The sequence below is a fragment of the Homo sapiens genome, chromosome 19 (assembly GCF_000001405.40).
Source record: "Homo sapiens chromosome 19, GRCh38.p14 Primary Assembly".
NCBI classification, from domain to species: Eukaryota; Metazoa; Chordata; class Mammalia; order Primates; family Hominidae; genus Homo; species Homo sapiens.
The window spans coordinates 11321571-11341501 of record NC_000019.10 but is presented as its reverse complement, the minus strand read 5'-3'; the positions used below and the strand labels follow the sequence as shown (position 1 = coordinate 11341501).

General features: G+C 50.8%; 2 protein-coding genes across 2 annotated transcripts in view, besides 2 other annotated features; one reads left to right on the top strand and one right to left on the bottom strand.

Annotated features, from left to right (window-relative positions):
- Positions 1803 to 2062: a silencer, noted in NCBI's record as "silent region_10107". NCBI's record gives its function as "represses an Ori minimal core promoter by ATAC-STARR-seq in GM12878 lymphoblastoid cells {active_cell/tissue: GM12878}" and the evidence as "EXISTENCE:reporter gene assay evidence [ECO:0000049][PMID:35858748]".
- Positions 1845 to 19434, top strand: RAB3D (RAB3D, member RAS oncogene family). Its single transcript, NM_004283.4, has 5 exons — positions 1845 to 2033; positions 4042 to 4330; positions 5719 to 5837; positions 5931 to 6055; positions 15917 to 19434. The coding sequence occupies exons 2-5, from the start codon at positions 4103 to 4105 to the stop codon at positions 16102 to 16104; spliced, it is 660 nt and encodes a 219-aa protein (NP_004274.1). The 5' UTR covers positions 1845 to 2033; positions 4042 to 4102; the 3' UTR covers positions 16105 to 19434.
- Positions 14506 to 19931, bottom strand: part of TSPAN16 (tetraspanin 16) — a 30837-nt gene continuing 25411 nt past the window's right edge. Inside the window, exon 7 of the mRNA NM_012466.4 lies at positions 14506 to 14708. Coding sequence (NP_036598.1) covers positions 14658 to 14708 — 51 coding nt within the window. The 3' untranslated portion in view covers positions 14506 to 14657. The remainder of the gene's footprint in view (positions 14709 to 19931) is intronic.
- Positions 17045 to 17254: an enhancer, noted in NCBI's record as "active region_14008". NCBI's record gives its function as "activates an Ori minimal core promoter by ATAC-STARR-seq in GM12878 lymphoblastoid cells {active_cell/tissue: GM12878}" and the evidence as "EXISTENCE:reporter gene assay evidence [ECO:0000049][PMID:35858748]".

Sequence of the window (19931 nt, the reverse complement as noted above, 5' to 3'; positions counted from 1 at the left end):
ACGTGGCAGCTCTTGAGGCAGCTACTTTTGTTCCCACGAGGCAGTGGGGGCTCAGAGAAGTTCAGCAAATTGAGTAAGGTGGAATTGCTGGGATTCCAACACCAGCAAAACCTGGGTATTTCACAAAGGGATCCAACCCACTTTAACTTTCTTTATTTAGAGATAAAGTCTTGCCCTGTCACCTAGGCTGGAGTGCAGTGGCACAGTCATAACCTACTGAAGCCTCTCTCTCTCCCAGGCTCAAGCAATCCCCCTGCCTCAGCCTCCGGAGTAGCTAAGACTACATGTATGTGCCCCCATGGTCAGCTAATTTTTTTTTCTTTTTTCTTTTTTTCTTTTTCTTTTTTTTTTTTTTTTTTTTTTTGTGGCCAGCTAATTTTCAAAAAAATTTTTTGTAGAGTTGGGATCTCTATGTTGCCTAGGCTGGCCTTGAACTCCTGAGCTCAAGGAATCCTCCTGCCTCAGCCTCCCAAAGGGCTGGGATTACAGGCATCAGACACTGTGCCCAGCCTCATTTATTTTTTAATTTTTTTTTTTTTTTTTTTGAGACAGAGTCTCACTCCATCGTCTAGGCTGGAGTGCAGTGGCGCGATCTCGGCTCACTGCAACCTCCACCTCCTGGGTTCAAGCGATTCTCCTGCCTCAGCCTCCCAAGTAGTTGGGATTACAGGTGTGCACCACCATGCTCGGCTAATTTTTGTATATTTATTTATTTATTTGAGACAGAGTTTCGCTCTTTTTGCCCAGGCTGGAGTGCAGTGGCGTGATCTCGGCTCACTGCAACCTCCGCCTTCCGGGTTCAAGCAATTCTCCTGCCTCAGCTTCCAGAGTAACTGGGATTACAGGCATGCGTCACCACGCCTGGCTAATTTTGTATTTTTTAGTAGAGACAGGGTTTCTTCACGTTGGCCAGGCTAGTCTCGAACTCCCGACCTCAGGTGATCTGCCCACCTCGGCCTCCCAAAGTGCTGAGATTACAGGTGTGAGCCACCGTGCCCAGCCCCTAATATTTGTATTTTTTTTTTTTTTTTTTTAGTAGAGATGAGGTTTCACCATGTTGGCCAGGCTGGTCTTAAATTCCTGACCTCAAGTGATCCGCCTGCCTTGGCCTCCCAAAGTACTGGGATTACAGGCATAAGCCACCGCGCCCAGCTCTCGTTTATTTTTATTTATTTGAAACAGGGTCTTGCTCTGTTGCCCAGGCTGGAGTGCTGTGGTGCAATCAAGGCTCACTGCAGCCTCGATGTCTCCAGCAATCCTCCTGCCTCAGCCTCCCAAGTAGCTGGGGTTACAGACGCACGCCACCACACCTGGCTAATTTTTGTTATTTTTAGTAGAGATGAGGTCTCCTTACGATGCCCAAGCTGGTCTCAAACTCCTGGCCTCAAGTGATTCTCCTGCCTCGGCCTCCCAAACTGCTGTAATTACAGGCCACCGCGCCTGGCCTAGCCTACTTTAAGGCCGGCACTGCACTTGACAAACACTAACTCAGATCAGAATCCTCCCACAACTCTGTGAGGTTGGGTACTCTCGCTATGAGCTACTTGACGGATGGGGAAACTGAGGCTCAAAGAGGTTAAGTAACGCGTCCAAAGCCACAAGACTAGAAAGTGGTGGAGCTGGGACTCGAACCAGGCCCAAGACTCTATGCTTTTAACAGCCGTGCGTATAGTAGAAGCTCTTTACAAGCAGCTGGGAAAATGAGATGTTGCTTGGCTAGGACGGGCTCTAGACGCTTGGTGCAGCTTCCAGCCCCTCCCACCCGCTCTCTGAAAGCCCCGCCCAAGACTCGGCCCCTCTTCGTCCTCCCCCATCCCCCGCTCCGGGAACGGCCCTTCCTCCGCCTTCTGGGCGGAGCCCGCGCGGGATCCGGGTGGCTGCAGGCTGCTGGCTTCTGCGGCTGCGGGGTCGGGGTCGCGGCCAGGGCCAAGCCGCAGCGAGTTCACAGGCGGAACCCCTGCAGGCGGCGCCCCCTACGCGAGGTCACCCCTGGGAAGGAGCGCAGCCCACCCGGCCCCTCCGCATCCGAGCAGGTCTGTGGGGTACGGGGGTTTGGGAGGAAGGTAGGGGGTCTGGGGAACAAAGGCGGGGCTGCGGGGAACGCCTCTGCCCTCGCCCCCACCCAGCTGGGCACTTGGGAAGCGCTGATGGGGCGCGGGCGGGGCAGAGAGCCCAGCTGGGGACAGGCGTTGGGACCATATGGTGATGGGGGAAACTCCTGAGTCCACCTGCATTGGCTGGGGCGCCCCAAATCTAGTGAAGGGGAACAGAGGCGAGCCCTCCGGGGCCAGGCTTGAGGGAGGGTCGGCAGATGGTTAGAAAGAGGCGGGACCGACTGACACAGGTGAGCTAAGGCTGGGGGAGGTGGGGGCCCCAGCCTTGCGGCCCTGCCCTGCGTGGGGAAAGGTTTCCTGCCTCTTCTCTTCCCCTCCTTAAACTCGTTCTCCTGGAACACGGGGTGGGGCCGGTTGGGTCCTGGTTTAAAATGGAAAAAAGCCCCAAAGGCAGTTGAGAAATAGCTGTGCCAGGGCTGTCTCTGCCTCTGCCCCGCCTGCATCCAGGCCTTCTGCAGCCTCTCCGTGCGGTTCCCGCAGCGGCCATAGACAGCTGGGGAAACTGAGGCCTGGGAGAGGTTATGAGGGTTGAGGGAGCACCTTGGACTCGGATGAAGCAGCATGTTGGAGTGTGGGCAGATTCAAGGAGCCTAGCCGTGGGACAGATTGCCTGGAAAGACCAAGGGTGGGCGGCAGTGGTCGTGGTGGTGGGGTTGTGTTAATTAAGTGGCTGGGATCGTTTCCTTGGGTATAAGGACTCTCACTCCTGCCTCCGTGGACTGGGGCTGGAGTGAGTCAGCCTTGGGCAGAAGGAGACAGGCCTGGCCCCTTTGACAAATAGAAAATAGCAGTACCCATTTAGGGGGTAGAACTGGACTCTAAACCTGGGCCCTGTACATAGAAAACCCCTTCCCCTTGGAACTCAGAGAAGGGGTTGTATTTGGCATGAGTTGGTGGGCGGCAGGCGCCCCAGTGGCTGACACCTGCCAAAGTCAACACCCAAGCCTTAATCAGGGGCTCTATCCAGCTTATCCAGCTGGCAGGTCCTCCCCCCACCCCACCCCAGCTTACACCTGGGCCACACCGGCTGCACACGCTGGGGCGAAGTCCACACCTGTGCCTTCTCCAGAATCTAGTTCTGCAGGGGCCAGAGCCCCTTACCCTCGGCCTTGCACTTGAACCCTTTGCTAGGCCTCTGGGTTTCCAGATAGGAAAGGTCTCCCCACCCTCCACCCCAATACAGACTCAGTTACGCCACAGGGTGTGAAGATTAAACAGCAGTCACATTTTTTGTGCCCCAGCTCTATACCAGGCACTGTCTAATGACCGTTACGTGTGTTAATACCTTCCCACTGGAAGGAACGTGACCACCCGAGGATGGACTTTTTCTTGTCCTATTCACAGCTGCATTTCCACAGAGAACAGGGCCCGGCAGAGAGTAAGCATTTGTTGAATGAATAAAGAAACACATTTTAGGTCGGGCGTGGTGGCTCATGCCTGTAATCCTAGCACATTGGAAGGCTGAGGCAGGAGGATTGCTTGAGCAGAGGAGTTTGAAACCAGCATGGGCAACATAATGAGACCCCATCTCTACAAAAAAATTTTTTTTAAATTAGCCTGATGTGGTGGCATGTCTGTAGTCCCAGCTACTTGGGAGGCTGAGGCAGGAGGATCACTCGAGCCCAGGAGGTCAAGACTGCAGTGAGCTATGATCACGCCACTGCGCTCCAGCCTCAGGCAACAGAGCGAGATCTTGTCTCTAAAAAAAAAAAAAAAGAAAGAAAGAAACTCATTTTAGGCTCACAACCAACTACTCTTTCAGGAAGGGACTGTGACAAACATCCCATTTTTTAGAAGAGGACACTGAGGTCTAGAGGGGGCAAGCGATGCATCCAGCATCACTTGGTCTCCGAGTGACCGAGCTGAGATTTGAATCCAGGCCTGGTGCATTCACAGGAGCTGTTCTTGATGTTTGATTCCCCTGCAGGACGCCCGTCTCCTCTCCCTGAGGATTTCAGGTCTCCCTGTCCCAGGAGGCTTGTGCCAAGATGGCATCAGCTGGAGACACCCAGGCAGGCCCACGGGATGCAGCAGATCAGAACTTCGACTATATGTTCAAACTGCTACTGATAGGCAACAGCAGTGTGGGCAAGACTTCCTTCCTGTTCCGATACGCGGACGACTCCTTCACTCCCGCCTTCGTCAGTACTGTGGGCATCGATTTCAAGGTCAAGACCGTCTACCGCCATGACAAGAGGATCAAGCTGCAGATCTGGGTAGGCTGGGAGGCTGGCTGTGGGTTGGGGGTGGGGTCCCTCCAGGAAAGTTCATTGGAGGGTTCTTTTTTTTTTTTTGAGACGGAGTCTCACTCTGTTGCCCAGGCTGGAGGGCAGTGGCGGGATCTCGGCTCACTGCAACCTCCATCTCCTGGGTTCAAGCGATTCTCCTGCCTCGACCTTTTTTTTTTTTTTTTCTCTCGAGACAGAGTCTTGCTCTGTCGCCCAGGCTGGAGCACAATGGCACAATGTTGGCTCACTGCAACCTCCGTCTCCTGGGTTCAAGCAATTCTTCTGCCTCAGTCTCCCGAGTAGCTGGGATTACAGGTGCACGCCACCACACCCGGCTAATTTTTTATACTTTTAATAGAGATGGGGTTTCACCATGTTGGCCAGGCTGGTCTCGAACTCCTGACCTCGTGATCCGCCCACCTCGGCCTCCCAAAGCGCTGGGATTACAGGCATGAGCCACTGTAATACTGTGCCTGGCGGGAAACAGTATTATTCCTGGGGGTCTGATTGCGGAGATGATACTAACCTAAGACATGTTTGAAGTACTTGTGACACTAGCGTGGTGGCTTATGCCTGTAATCCCAACACTTTGGGAGGCTGAGGTGGAGCATCACTTGAGCCCAGCGGTTCCAGACCAGCCTGGACAACATAGCGAGATCTCATCTCTAAAAAAAACTTTAAACATTAGCCCAGCATGGTAGCTCCCGCCTGTAGTCTCAGCTATTCAGGAGGCTGAGGCAAGAGGATTGCTTGAGCCCAGGAGTTCGAGGCTGCAGTGAGCTATGATTGCACCGCTGCATTCCATCATGGGTGACAGGGCAAGACCCCATCTATTAAAAAAAGAAAGAAAGAAAAAAGAAAGGTCCCAGGTGCTGGTGACCAACAGGGAAGAGTTTTGGGTACCATCTTAGAGGGGACCCTGGGACCCCCATTGGACCGACCTGGTCTGCAGAGTCACACCTAGCTCCCTCTCCCAACTTAGCCGCTGGTAACAATCATCGTGGTAGCAAGAGTACCAAGGTGTCCTGTCAGGATGGTACCATCTGGCCCAGTTGGTTCTTAGAGACAAGGTCAAAGGGGCTCATAAGTCTGTGAGAGGCCACTGACCCCTGAGACTTGGAACCCCTCAAGGGCAAGCCCAAGTCTCTCCCTCATCAGACTGGGGAGATCCCTTGGTAATGAATCCATGCCTCCCCCATCAGACTGGGGTTGTGAGGGCAGGATCTGTGTATTCTCCATCAGACCAGAGGTTGTACAAGCAAGTCTGTGTCTCCCCCGTAAGGCTGGGGCTATGAGTACAGGGCAGTGCCCCTCTAAGACAGGGGTGGACTGGGAAACAGGTAGTTCCCAGCCAACTGCCACTGCCATTTGTCCAGGACACAGCGGGCCAGGAGCGCTACCGCACCATCACCACGGCCTACTACCGGGGAGCCATGGGCTTCCTGCTCATGTATGACATCGCCAATCAGGAATCCTTTGCCGCTGTGCAGGACTGGTGAGTGCTTGCTGATCATGGACCCCTGATCTTTGCCCTCTCCTCTGACCCCTAACCCCCCCGGCTCATGGCTCACCACTGGTAACTCTGCAGGGCCACGCAAATCAAGACCTACTCCTGGGACAACGCCCAGGTCATCCTGGTGGGGAACAAGTGTGACCTGGAGGACGAACGTGTTGTGCCTGCTGAGGATGGCCGGAGGCTCGCCGACGACCTTGGTTAGTGCCCAGCCTGGGCCACAGGCCCTGGTCTCCCAGAACCAAACCCTCATCCCCATCCTCTGATTCAGGGTCCAACCCAGTCACTGATCCTTTGAGGATCTGCCCAGGAAGATACCCATGTGTATGCCACATGTCCCGTCTAATTGCAGGGGATCCACGCGCAGGAACTCCCACTGCCCCACTGCCTATCCCCTGGGAACCCAGCAAAACCATTTCTGGAAATTGATCCTAGAGATATCCTCACCCATGTGGGATATGGTGTGTGGAGTGTAGTAGTAGTATTAGTAGGAGTGAAACCTACAGATCCCCCCCAGGTGTCTCACAGTTGGAGAACCAAGTGGACATAAAGTATATTCACATGGTGGAATACTATGCAGCCATGGAAAAGGATGGGGATGTTCTTTATTTTTTTATTTTTTATTTTTTTGAGACGGAGTCTCGCTCTGTCGCCCAGGCTGAAGTGCAGTGGCGCGATCTCGGCTCACTGCAAGCTCCGCTTCCCAGGTTTATTTTATTTTTTTGAGTTGGAGTCTCACTCTGTCACCCAGACTGGAGTGCAGTGGTGCCGTATTGGCTCACTGCAGCCTCCACCTCCCAGGTTCAAGCAATTCTCCTGCTTCAGCCTCCCAAGTAGCTGGTACTACTGGCGCGTGCCACATGCCCAGCTAATTTTTTATATTTTTAGTAAAGATGGGGTTTCACCATGTTAGCCAGGATGGTCTCCATCTCCTGACCTCGTGATCTGCCCGCCTTGGCCTCCCAAAGTGCTGGGATTACAAGCGTGAGGCACCATGCCTGGCCTTTTTTTTTAATTTTGCGTGGAGATAGGGTCTCGCTATGTTTCCCAGGCTGGCCTCGAACTCCTGACCTTAAGTGATCCTCCCTCCTCAGCCTCCCAAAGTGCTAGGATTGCAGGCATGAGCCACCACACCAGCCCAAGGGGATGTTCTTTATGGTTTGTTTTTGTTTTTGTTTGAGATGGAGTCTCCCTCTGTTGCCCAGGCTAGAGTGCAGTGGTGCGATCTTGGCTCACTGCAACCTCTACCTCCTGCATTCAAGTGATTCTCCTTCCTCAGCCTCCTGAGTATCCAGGATTACAGGTGTGCGCAGCATGCCTGACTCATTTTTGTATTTTCAGTAGAGATGGGGTTTTGCCATGTTGGCCAGGCTGGTCTTGAACCCCTGACAGGTGATCCACCTGCCTCAGCCTCCCGAAGTGTTGGGATTACAGGCGTGAGCCACCGTGCCTGGCTGTTTTGTTCTAGCAAAATAGTGGATACGACTGCTTTCTTTAGTCCAGGAGTCAGCAAACCTTTTCTTAAAGGGCCAGATAGTAAATATTTTTGGCCATACAGTCTCTATGGCAACTACCCAACTCTGCATGACAGCAGCCACAGACAATGCATAAATGAATGGGTGTGACTGTTTGCCAATAAAACTTTATTTGTGGCCGGGCGTGGTGGCTCATGCCTGAAATCCCAGCACTTTGGGAGGCTGAGACAGGCAGATCACCTGAGGCCAGGAGTTCTAGACCAGCCTGGCCAACATGGCAAAACCCCGTCTCTACTAAAAATGCACAAAAATTAGCCGGGCATGGTGACAGACGCCTGTAATCCCAGCTACTTGGGAGGCTGAGGCAGAAGAATCACTTGAACCTGAGAGGTGGAGGCTGCAGTGAGCCGATATCACGCCACTGCACTCCAGCCTGGGCAATGGGGGGAGACTCTGTCTCAAAAGAAAAAAAAAAAAAGGAAAGAAAGAAACTGATGCTTGCAATCAGTTTTTAACCCCAGCTTTCCCATAAGCCCCATCCAAGCCAGCACCCTATGTGCAAAATTCAGAAGGCACAGGAAGAGACTAAGGCAATAACCCACTCCCCACCTGCAGTTCTGGTCTCCCAGCTTCTCTGATTCTTGTATCTCTTTCCAGAAATATGCTGAGCACCCACAGGCATTGACAACACATTGGCTACTTTTTTGTTTTACACAGATGTTCCCTACTGTATATACCCTTTCCTGCACTTTGAACTTTTCTACTAAATAATATATCCTAGAAATATTTCTCTGCCGGGCGCAGTGGCTCACGCTTGTAATCCCAGCACTTTGGGAGGCCGAAGAGGGCGGATCATGAGGTCAGGAGATCAAGAACATCCTGGCTAACACTGTGAAACTCCATCTCTACTAAAAATACAAAAAAATTAGCCAGGCGTGGTGGTGGGCGCCGGTAGTCCCAGCTTCTCGGGAGGCTGAGGCAAGAGAATGGTGTGAACCCGGGAGGCGGAACTTGCAGTGAGCCAAGATCACGCCACTACACTCCAGCCTGGGTAGAAGAGCAGGACTCTTTCTCAAAAAAAAAAAAAAAAAGAAATATTTCTCCATCAGCCCCAGAGCTGGCTCATTCTTTTGCATGGCTGTGTACTATTCCATTTCGTGTTTCCTTAACCTTTTCCTCTGTTGACAGCCATGGAGATTATTTCTAGCCTTTTCCTCTGACAAATGCAGCTGCAGCAGTCATTTTTACATATATTTCTTTGGACACATGAGGCAAGAAATCTGCCAGCTTGATTCACAGATGTTCTTAACACTTTTTTTTTTTGAGATGGAGTCACTGCACCTGGTTGGTTTTTATAGTCCCGGCCTACACTTTTTTAAAAAAATAACTTTGGCCAGGAATGGTGGCATGTGCTTGTAATCCCAGCTACTCTGGAGACTGAATTAGGAGGATTGCTTCAGGCCAAGAATTTGAGACCAGCTTGGGCAATATAGCGAGACCCTGTCTCAAAAAAGGAAGAAAATAATAACTTTTTGTGATAAAAATGTTCAAATACTCTCAGCACATTGGGAGGGCAAGGTGGGTAGATCGCTGAAGCCCAGGACTTTGAGACCAGCCTGGTCAACATGGTAAACCCTGTCTCTACAAAAAAATGCAAAAATTAGCTAAGCATGGTGGCTCACACCTATAGTCTCAGCTACTCAGGAGGCTGAGGTGGGAGGATCGCTTGAGCCTGGGAGGCAGAGGTTGCATTGAGCCAAGATTGCACCACTGTATGCCAGCCTGGGTGACAGAGTGAGACCTTGTCTCAAAAAACAATGAAATAAAATGAGAAATGTTCGGCCAGGCGTGGTGGCTCACGCCTGTAATCCCAGCACTTTGGGAGGCCGAGGCAGGCGGATCACCTGAGGTCAGGAGTTTGAGACCAACCTGACCAACATGGTGAAACCTCATCTCTACTAAAAATACAAAATTAGCCGGTCGTGGTGGCGCATGCCTGTAATTCCGGCTACTCAGGAGGCTGAGGGAGGAGAATCACTTGAACCCAGGAGGCGGAGGTTGTGTGAGCTGAGATCGCACCATTGCACTCCGGCCTGGGTAAGAAGAGTGAAACTCCATCTAAGAAAAGTTCAAATACATTCACAAGTAGAAAGGAATGTATAATAGACTTTGATAAAACATTATTCAGCTTAATTAGGTCTCAACATTTTTTCAATCTTGAATCATCTATTCCCCCAAAATACTTTTCCTTTTTTTCCTAGAGCATTGAGAGCAAACCCTTGACATCGAAACCTTTTGTCTGTAAACACTTCACTATGCAACTCCAGCTGTTTTGTTGTCGTCGTCGTTTTTTAAATAATAGAGACAGAGCCTCACTCTTTCACCCAGGCTGGAGTACAGTGGTGTGATCCCACCACTTTAGGAGGCTGAGGAGGGAGGATTGCTTGAGCCCAGGGGTTAGAGACCAGCCTGGGCAACATAGTGAGACCCCAACTCTACAAAATAAGTTTAAAGCTCCCTGTAGCCTCAGACACCTGGGCTCAAGTGATTCTGCTGCCTCAGCCTTTCAAGTAGCTGGGACTACTAGTATAAGCCAGCACACTGGCTAATTTTTTATTTTTATTTTTTGTAGAGATGAGGTCTCACTATATTGCCCAGGCTGGTCTTGAACTCCTGGGCTCAAGCAGTCGGCCTGCCTCAGCCTCCCAAAGTGCTGGGATTACAGGCATGAGCCACGGCACCTGGTTGGTTTTTACATTTTTAAGTGGTTGAAAAAAAATAATATGACATGGGAAATTTATATGAAATTCAAATTTGTATCTATAAATGAAGTTTTTCTGAGACACAGCTATACCCTTTTAAAAGAATTTTTTTTTTACACGGAGTCTTGCTCTTGTCGCCCAGGCTGGAGTGCAATGGCGTGATTTCGGCTCATTGCCACCTCCGCCTCCCCAGTTCAAGTGATTCTCTTGCCTCAGCCTCCTGAGTAGCTGGGATTACAGGCACCCACCACCACGGGGCCTGGCTAATTTTTGTATCTTTAGTAGAGATGGGGTTTCACTATGTTAGCCAGGCTGGTCTGGAATTCCTGACCTCAGGTGATCCACCCGCCTCAACCTCCCAACCATTTATTTTTTAAATTTTTTTTTTTTTTTTGAGGCAAGGTCTCTCTCTGGTGCTCAGGCTGGAGTGCAGTGGCACGATCATAACTCAAAGCAGCCTCCAACTCCTGGGCTCAAGTGATCCTCCCACCTCAGCCTCCCAAGTAGCTGGGATGCCAGGTGTACTCCACCACACCTGCCTAATTAAAAAAAAATTTTTTTGCCGGGCGCAGTGGCTCATGCCTGTAATCCCAGCACTTTGGGAGGCCGAGGCGGGTGGATCACAAGGTCAGAAGCTTGAGACCACCCTGGCCAACATGGTGAAACCCCGTCTCTACTAAAAATACAAAAAAATTAGCCGGGTGTGGTGGTACACACCTGTAATCCCAGCTACTCAGGAGGCTGAGGCAGGAGAATTGCTTGAACCTGGGAGGCAGAGGTTGCAGTGAGCCGAGATCGTGCCACTGCACTCCAGCCTGGGCAAGAGAGCGAGACTCCGTCTCAAAAAAGAAAAAAATTTTAAGAGATAGGTCTTGCCATGTTGTCTGGGCTGATCTTGAACTCCTGGGCTTAAGCAGTCCTCCCACCTTGGCCTCCCAAAGTGCTGGGATCACAGGAGTGAACTCACACCCGTGCTCAGTTGATGCCTATTTGTTGATGCATTGTCTATGGTTGCTATTTTTATGGTAATCACACGTCTGTGATTACAGGCTGTCTCAATACAGAAAAGGGTATAAACAGTGCTTCAAGCGTGAAATTGAGTAATTGAGACAGAGACCATATGACCCAGAAAGCCTAAAATATTTACGATCTGGCCTTTTACAGAGGAGGTTTGCTGACCTCTAAGCCATAACCAGTCCCTTTCCCCTTTTATTCTTGCCATTGCTTTGTTGGAGAAACTGGATCTCTGTTCTGTGGGGCAGGGCCCTGGATCCCCAGTTAGCCTGGAAGTGGTGAAATCAGTTAACGCCCGCGATGGGCTGGAATACTTGGAGGTGCTTTCCACACCTACTTGCGGATTATATCTGGGGTCTCGGGGTAAAGGGGGATTCTCACTTTCTGTTATTATGTTTAAAATATTGGAGTACAGGCCAGGTTCGGTGGCTCACGCCTGTAATCCTAGCACTTTGGGAGGCTGAAGTGGGCAGATCACTTGATGTCAGGAGTTCGAGACCAGCCTGGCCAACATGGTAAAACCCTGTCTCTACCAAAAATACAAAAATTAGCTGGGTGTGGTGGCACGTGCCTGTAATCCCAGCTACTTGGAAAGCTGAGGTATGAGAACCATTTGAACCCGGGAGGCGGAGGTTGCAATGAGCCAAGATCGCGCCATTGCGTTCCAGCCTGGGTGATGGAGTGAGCCTGTATCTCACACACACACAAAAAGAAGATTGGCATACAAAGCAGGACACAGAATTTGATCCCAATTTTTTTTTCTTTTCTTTTGTTTTATTTTTTTTTTTGAGATGGAGTTTCGCTCTTGTTGCCCAGGCTGGAGTGCAGTGGCACAATCTTGGCTCGCTGCAACCTCCGCCTCCCAGGTTCAAGCAATTCTCCTGCCTCAGCCTCCCGAACAGCTGGGATTACAGGCATGTGCCACCACGCCTGGCTACTTTTGTATTTTTAGTAGAGATGGGGTTTCACCATGTTGGTCAGGCTGGTATCAAACTCCTGACCTCAGGTGATCCGCTGCCTCGGCCTCCCAAACTGCTGGGATTACAGGTGTGAGCCACCACGCCTGGCCTGATTCCAATTTTGTAGGAAAAAAAGCCAGACACACATACATGTGCACACACACATCCCCTACAAACCTAACCCCAACAAATGACATATTTATATAGAAAAAGACTAAAGGCTGGGCATGGTGGCTCATGCCTGTAATCCTTGCACTTTGGGAGGTCAAGGCAGAGGATCACTTGAGTCTAGCAGTTAGAGACCAGCATGGGCAACATGGTGAAGCCCCACCCCTATAAAAAATACCAAAAATCGGCTGTGTGTGGTGGCACACCCCTATAGTCCCAGCTACTTGGGAGACTGAGGGGGGCCCAAGAGTCAAGGCCGTAGTGAGTTATGATTATACCACTGCACTCCAGCCTGGGCAACAGAGGGAGACTCTGTCTTAAAAAAAAAAAAAAAAAGATGAATAAAGACTAGAAAGCTAAATAGCAAAACGCCAACAGTAATTGTTTCCAAGTGATGAGATTACAAATTACTTTTATCTCTATCTCCATACATTTCTTTGTGTTTTTGTTTTGAGACAGGGTCTCACTCTGTTGCCCAGGCTGGAGTGCAATGGCATGACCTCAGCTCACTGCAGCCTCAACTTCCCTGGCTTAGGTCATCCTCCCACCTCAGCCTCCCAAGTAGGTGGGACTACGGGTGCATGCCACCACACCTGGCTAATATTTATTTATTTATTTATTTAGAGATGGAGTCTTGCTCTGTTGCCAGGCTGGAGTGCAGTGGCATAATCTCGGCTCACTGCAACCTACACCTCCCGGGTTCAAGCAATTCTTCTGCCTCAGCCTCCTGAGTAGCTGGGACTGCAGGCACGTGCCACCACACAAAGCTAAATTTTGTATTTTTAGTAGAGACGGGGTTTCACCGTATTGGCCCTGGTCTCGAACTCCTGACCTCGTGATCCGCCCACCTCCGTCTCCCAAAGTGCTGGAATTACAGGCGTGAGCCACCACGCCTGGCACCCCCCAACCTTCTTCTTTTTTTTTTTTTTTTTTTTGAGATAATATCTTGTTCTGTCACCCAGCCTGGAGTACAATGGCACAATCTCGGCTCACTGCAACCTCCGCCTCCCAGGTTCAAGTGATCCTCCTGCTTCAGCCTCCTAAGTAGCTGGGATCACAGGTGTGCACCACCATGGCCAGCTAATTTTTGCATTTTTAGTAGAGACGGGGTTTCATCATGTTGGCCAGGCTGGTCTCAAACTCCAGACCTCAAGTGATCCGCTCACCTTGGCCTCCCAAAATGCTGGTATTACAGGCGTGAACCACCATGCCTGGCCTTAATTTTTATATTTTCTTTAGAGACTGGGTCTTGCTATGTTGCCCAGGCTGGTCTCAAACTTGTGAGCTCAGGTACCCACCTGCCTCAGTCTCCCAAAGTACTGGGATTATAGGCTGTCTTAATACTTTTCTGTAGTTTCTAGTTTCTCCAGTAAATTTCTCTATTGAATGACATCCAAAAAATGTATTTTTTTTCCTTTTTAAAATTTTTATTTGTTTTAGAGACAGGGTCTCCCTATGTTACCCAGGCTGGTCTTGAACTCTTGGGTTCAAGTGATTCTCCTGCCTTGGCCTCCTGAGTAGTTGGGATTACAGGCGCATACCACCACGCCTGATTAATATCAGAAAAATAAGCTGGGCACGGTGGTTCATGCCTGTAATCCCAGCACTTTGGGAAGCTGAGGCAGGTGGATCATCTGAGGTCAAGAGTTCGATACCAGCCTGGCCAAAATAGCGAAACCCTGTCTCTACTGAAAATACAAAAATTAGCCTGGCATGGTGGTTCACACCTGCAGTCCCAGCTCCTTGGGAGGCTGAAGCAGGAGAATCGCTTGAACTCGGGAGACGGAGGTTGCAGTGGGCTGAGATCGTGCCGTTACACTCCAGCCTGGGCGACAAGAGCAAAACTCTGTCTCAACAAAAAGAAAAATAAAGAACACAGATGGTATGAGGCAAAGCCACGCGTGGATAAGGAAACACCAGATTTGCCCAGGAAGACAGTGGGATGGCTTTGATATCTCTGGGCTGACAGTAGGAGATCTAAGTTCATGTCCTGCCCCTGCTATTGTTCATTTACCCATTCATTCATTCAACCATTCAGCAGACAGTTTCTAAGCACCCTCTCTGTGTCGGGCACTGGGTACAGCCATGGGCGGAAATCCTGCCTGCCTGGAGCTGGCTTTCTAGTAGCGGAGACAGATAATAAATGGGTAATTACACAGCTAACTCATTATGATTCCATTTTCATAGTTCAGCATGACGCACAGAGAAGACAGGTCCACTTACCCTTGGCCACGTGTAACGTGGCAGGCGTTTGTCTGAATTCCTGGCTTACCTTGGTGATGTGGCAGGTGGGGCTGCATGGAGATTCAGGGACAGCTCCTCTCAGGCAGACCCTCAGGAACCTTAAAAGGATGCAGGAAGCCCAGCGTGGTGGCTCACGCTGGTAAACCCAGCACTTTGGGAGGCCTAGGCGGGGGGATCGCTTTAGGCCAGCAGTTCAAGACCAGCCTGCGCAACATAGCGAGACCCCCACCTCTACAAAAGAAAAAATTGAAAAATTAGCCGGGCATGGTGGGGCACACCTGTAGCCCCAGCTACTCAGGGGGCCAAGGCGGGAGGATCGCTTGAGCCCAGGAGGTTGAGGCTGCAATGAGCCATGTTCATACCACTACACCCCGGCCTGGGCAATAGAGAGAGACCGTTTCTCTTTTAAAAAAAGCAATGGAAAATGTGACTTGATGGGTCTCCTGACCATGCCTTTCTGTGCAGCAGAAATTGGGTGGAAGCTGAGCTATAGCCACCTGTGGGCACTGCCATGGCCGCAGGGCAGCAGAACTCTTCATGTACCCTCCCACCTATACTCTTGCAGCCACTGCCTTGTGACAAAGAGATCTTAGGATTGTCCAGACCATGGCTGCAGCCGCAGGGTTTCGTTTTGTTTTGTTTTTGAGACAGGGTCTTGCTCCATCACCCAGGCTGGTGTGCAGTGGTGTGATCATGGCTCACTGCTGCCTTGACCTCCTGGGCTCAAACCATTCTCCTGCCTTAACCTTCCGAGTAGCTGAGACTGCAGGTGAACGCCACCATGCCCCTCTATTTTTTTTTTTTTAATAGAATCTCGCTCTGTTGCCCAGGCTGGAGTACAGTGGTGTGATCTCAGCTCACTATAACCTCCGCCTCCCAGATTCAAGCAATTCTCCTGCCTCAGCCTCCCGAGTAGCTGGGATTACAGACGCGTGCCACCATGCCCAGCTAATTTTTTGTCTTTTTAGTAGAGATGGGGTTTCACCATGTTGGTCAGGCGGGTCTTGAACTCCTGACCTCAAATGATCCTCCCGCCTCGGCCTCCCAAAGTGCTGGGATTATAGGCATGAGCCTCCTCACCTGGCCGCCCATCTACTTTTTAAAAAAATTTATTGTAGAGATAGGGCCTTGCTATGTTGCCCAGGCTGGTCTTGAACTCCTGGCCTCAAGCGATCCTCCCGCCGTAGCTTCCTTTAGTGCCAGGATTACAGGCATAAGCCCCTGCGCCTGGCCTGCCACAGATTTTTATCATTGGTAGGATCATCATTCCCATTTTACAGGTGAGCAAACTGAGGCTTGGAGTGGCAAAGGCACACAACCAAGGTCCCACAGCAGGATAAAGAGCAGAACTAGGCTTAGAAGCCAGGTTTCTGTGATGCCACAGCTGAGACTCTGCCCTCAGGGGTCTTACGAGTGTCCCCACCTTAACATTCATCCAGGTTTCGAGTTCTTTGAAGCCAGTGCCAAGGAGAACATCAATGTGAAGCAGGTCTTCGAGCGCCTGGTGGATGTCATCTGCGAGAAGATGAACGAGTCCCTGGAACCCAGCTCCAGCTCAGGCAGCAACGGGAAAGGCCCGGCCGTGGGGGATGCTCCAGCCCCCCAGCCCAGCAGCTGCAGCTGCTAGAGATGGCCCCCAACCCCCCACCCACCCCTCTCCTGCCTCGGCAGGGACTGTGATCGAGGCGTGAGCCACAGTGGTTATCTCCAAGCTCAGGGCAATCCCTTCCCTCCTGTCAACTGCTCCCCGACTCCTGCATGGCTCATTCCTTCACAATGTCGCCGTGGCTGCCAGGTTCCTCAGGCAGCCCCGGTGGGAGGCTGCGGACCATGGGGACTCAGCTCTGCATGGCAGGCAGAGGCCCAGGGACACTGACGTGCATGAGCTTGCTGCTTTCCAGGGTGTGTTGAGGGTGGCCATGGGTGACACGTCCCACTCTTTCTGATGGAGGGGCATCCGTGGTGCCTTCTAGCTTAGAACCATTTTCCAGGTCTCTTCTGGGTTGGGCAGGACTGATATTCCCAAGCTGGTGGAAGATGGTTCATCTTCCTCGCACAGTGTGGGTTCTTGGAGTTCATCCAGGGAAGGCGGCGCCTCTTTCTCAGGTCCTGCAGGCTGGTCTCTGAGCCTGCCCCCACGAACTTTCTGGATTCCAAGGTGGGATGGTGATCCCTTTGACCCCTGCAGACCCTCTACTTGCGAAAAGCAGCATTGAAGCAGCCTTTTCCCATTGTAGAAGGGACAGGGAGTCAGATCCCCTCAACCCCCCGGCTTCAGGGACCCCAGAAGTGCCTTCCAAGCTTCCCCCAAGATCCACATCACCCACGACCCTGCCACTGTTTTTGCTGTGTTCACCACATCTCTGATCCTGAAGTGAATTCTGGAACTATGGACCACATTAGACTGGGCAGAGATTCGCCCAACCCCTAGCACTCCGGCTCTGGGCTTTCGGCCAGAAGTTAATTAACCTCAGAGCCAGGAGCCTGGGGCTGGGGCCTCCCTCCCAGGCCCTGTTTAGCTGTTTAGCTGGTTGTGTTTTAAGCAAGTTCTTGCCCAATCATGCATCCTGCTAGAAAAGGAAATGAAGCAACGTTCCCAGCCACCGCAGGCAGTTGTCGGCGACTTTCTGATGTAAGCACCTGGGCTCCGACTTGAGGGGGGCCCTTCAAGACCCAATGTCCATTTCCCAATCCTTGTCATCGGCAGGGCCCAGGGATGTGACAATTTTTGCTAATGGAGGAGTCACTTCTTTTTTTTTTTTTTTCTTTTTGAGATGGTCTGGCTCTGTCACCCAGGCTGGAGTGCAGTGGTGCAATCATAGCTCACCACAGCCTCAAACTAGGGGTCACTTCTAAGGGATGCTGGGGGTTGGGCGGAAGGGGTGAGGAGGTAGGATTGAGTAACTTGCTGTCACTGCTTGTACTTTGTAGACAGCCTGAGAGTGGCAGGACCTTATGTGAATGGGGGGGATGGACTGTGATCAGTGCCGGGGAGTCTCTGAAGCTGGGGTCCCCACCTCCAGGGGCTTCTGCTCAGAGGTTACGTGTGCAGTTTGAAGATGTACATCTTGACCTCCGGTTTAGAGGCACTTTCTGCCCATCAGATTCCAAACTCTAGGGGCGCAGCACCTTTTCTTTGCTCCCAAACACCAACCAACACCCCTTCACAGGACCAGCACTGTTAGGATGGCTAAGTGGATGTTTTATGTTCCCACGTCCCTGACTCTGTTTCAGAGGTTGTGTCTGCTCTCCCAGCCCCTGAAGCCAAAATGACTTCCTGCAGCTTTCATGAGCTCAGCCTCTTCCCTGGGGTATGTGTGAGGGGGAAAGCCTGGTTCAAGTTTAGATTTATTTCTAGGGAGCCCTGGTTTCTTCATACCAGAGGCTACCCTTAGAACTTTGGAGTGGGGTATCTTTTTTTCATTTGTTTTTTTGATACAGAGTCTCGCTCTATTGCCCAGGCTGGAGTGCGGTGGCACAATCTCAGCTTACTGCAACCTCCACCTCCAGGGTTCAAGCGATTCTCCTGCCTCAGCCTCCCGAGTAGCTGGCATTACAGGCACCTGCCACCACACCCGGCTAAATTTTGTATTTTTAGTAGAGAAGGGGTTTCACCATGTTGGTGAGGCTTGTCTCAAACTGACTTCAAGTGATCCACTTGCTTCGGCCTCCCAAAGTGCTGGGATTACAGGCGTGAGCCATCACGCCCAGCCGAGGGTATCTTTTATACCAACAAATTAGATGACTGAGGTGTAATGGACAAATCCTATGCACAAAGTGAGGGTATCTGAATATGTGGGCGGGAGTCAAAAATTTTTAGCTACTTTAACACTAAAGTCAAACTAAAGTAGCTTCAAAAAGACTTCTCAAGATGCAGTATGGCCTGCTGAGGTTTTTTTGTTTTTTTTTTTTTTAAGACAGAGAGTCGCTCGTCGCCCAGGCCGCAGTGCAGTAGCATGATCTCAGCTCACTGCAACCTCCACCTCCCGGGTTCAAGCGATTCTCCTGTCTCAGCCTCCTAAGTAGCTGGGACTACAGGCACCTGCCACCACGCCCATCTAAGTTTTGCATTTTTAGTAGCGACGGTTTCACCTTGTTGGCCAGGCTGGTTTTGTTGGCCAATTGTCTCTAAACTGCTGTCAAAAAAAGGAATGGATCAGATTGTCTTGAATAGGGCAGAGCTAACCTGTAATCACCTGTGTGATGAGAAACAGCTTTGACTGCATTTTACTCCTGACCTGGCCTAAGCTTTCTGTTTACATAAGATTTTTCAAGAATTCAACTTCAAGTAGCAGCCGAGAGAGCTGCCTCAGGATTCTCTCAAAAACTGGGAATAATATGGGAACATTTGTTTCTTCTAAAAATAAGGCAAATGTTACATTGAATGATTTGGGGGGTGAGGTTTAATTGGAAATGGTCTCTGGGGACTGAAAACTGATGTTTTTGCAGATTACCTCAGGGAAACGGAGGTTTGTTGAGTTTACAGACACATTAAACCAAAGGCCGTGGGAAAACCCCTCTCCAGCTCCAGGGGATTGGTCAGGACCACCCACTAACCAGTGCCTTCCTTCTTAACATTCACTTTTAGCAGCTTGTGTTTATTTTACATGGGCAGTTTTGATGGGAAATTGCCATGACCACAGGGGTTTGGAGTTCTGCTTTTTTTTTTTCTTCTTCTTTTTCGGGGGACTGGGGGACTCCTCCCAAGATCACATTTTAGCATCTTTCTCTCCTACTCCATTTAGAAAAATAAGTAACAGGTGAAATGTGGTCTCAGTGTTAACGGGATAATTCTGCTACCGGCTCCTCCCTGATGATTCTGAAATACACTACTGAACGAGCTCTGGCTGGTCCTTTCTATCCTGGATGTGGTTCTTCTGTGTAGCAATTCCTTGATGTCCAGTTTGGAAAGATGTACTCTTCTCAACAAGAAAAACTTAAATCCGTCGTGCCCAAATATAGTTGTGCTTTTATTTCCATTAGTGAAGTGCGTTTCTGGGAAAGGGGGTTTGATTTGCAACTAAGCAGATATCAGTCAAGGGCTCTTCAAGACACAGCAGAAACCTCACCGGGCCTCGGGCTGCCTCCCACTGGGTCCCATGGCCACCACCTTGACCTTGGAAAGCTCTGTTATATGGAAGGTAGGGAGGACACTATTTCCCTCAACTACTTCTAGTAAAAAGCTCAGTTCTCTCCCCAGCAGCAAGAGGGCACCTGTGAACACCTGAGTCACAGCGCATTCCTCCTCTGCTTAGAACATTCGATGGCTCCCACCTTACTTGCAGTAAATGCTGAGGTCCTTCCTGTGGCCCCCGGGGCCCTGCATGATCTGATCCATCCCTTCCCTACCCTCATCTCTCCACTGGCCTCCCCACACTTGCTCCCCTCCGGCCACTCTGGCCTACTTGCTGCTATCTGAACATACCAGGCCCCTGCCCCAAGGCCTTTGCCCAG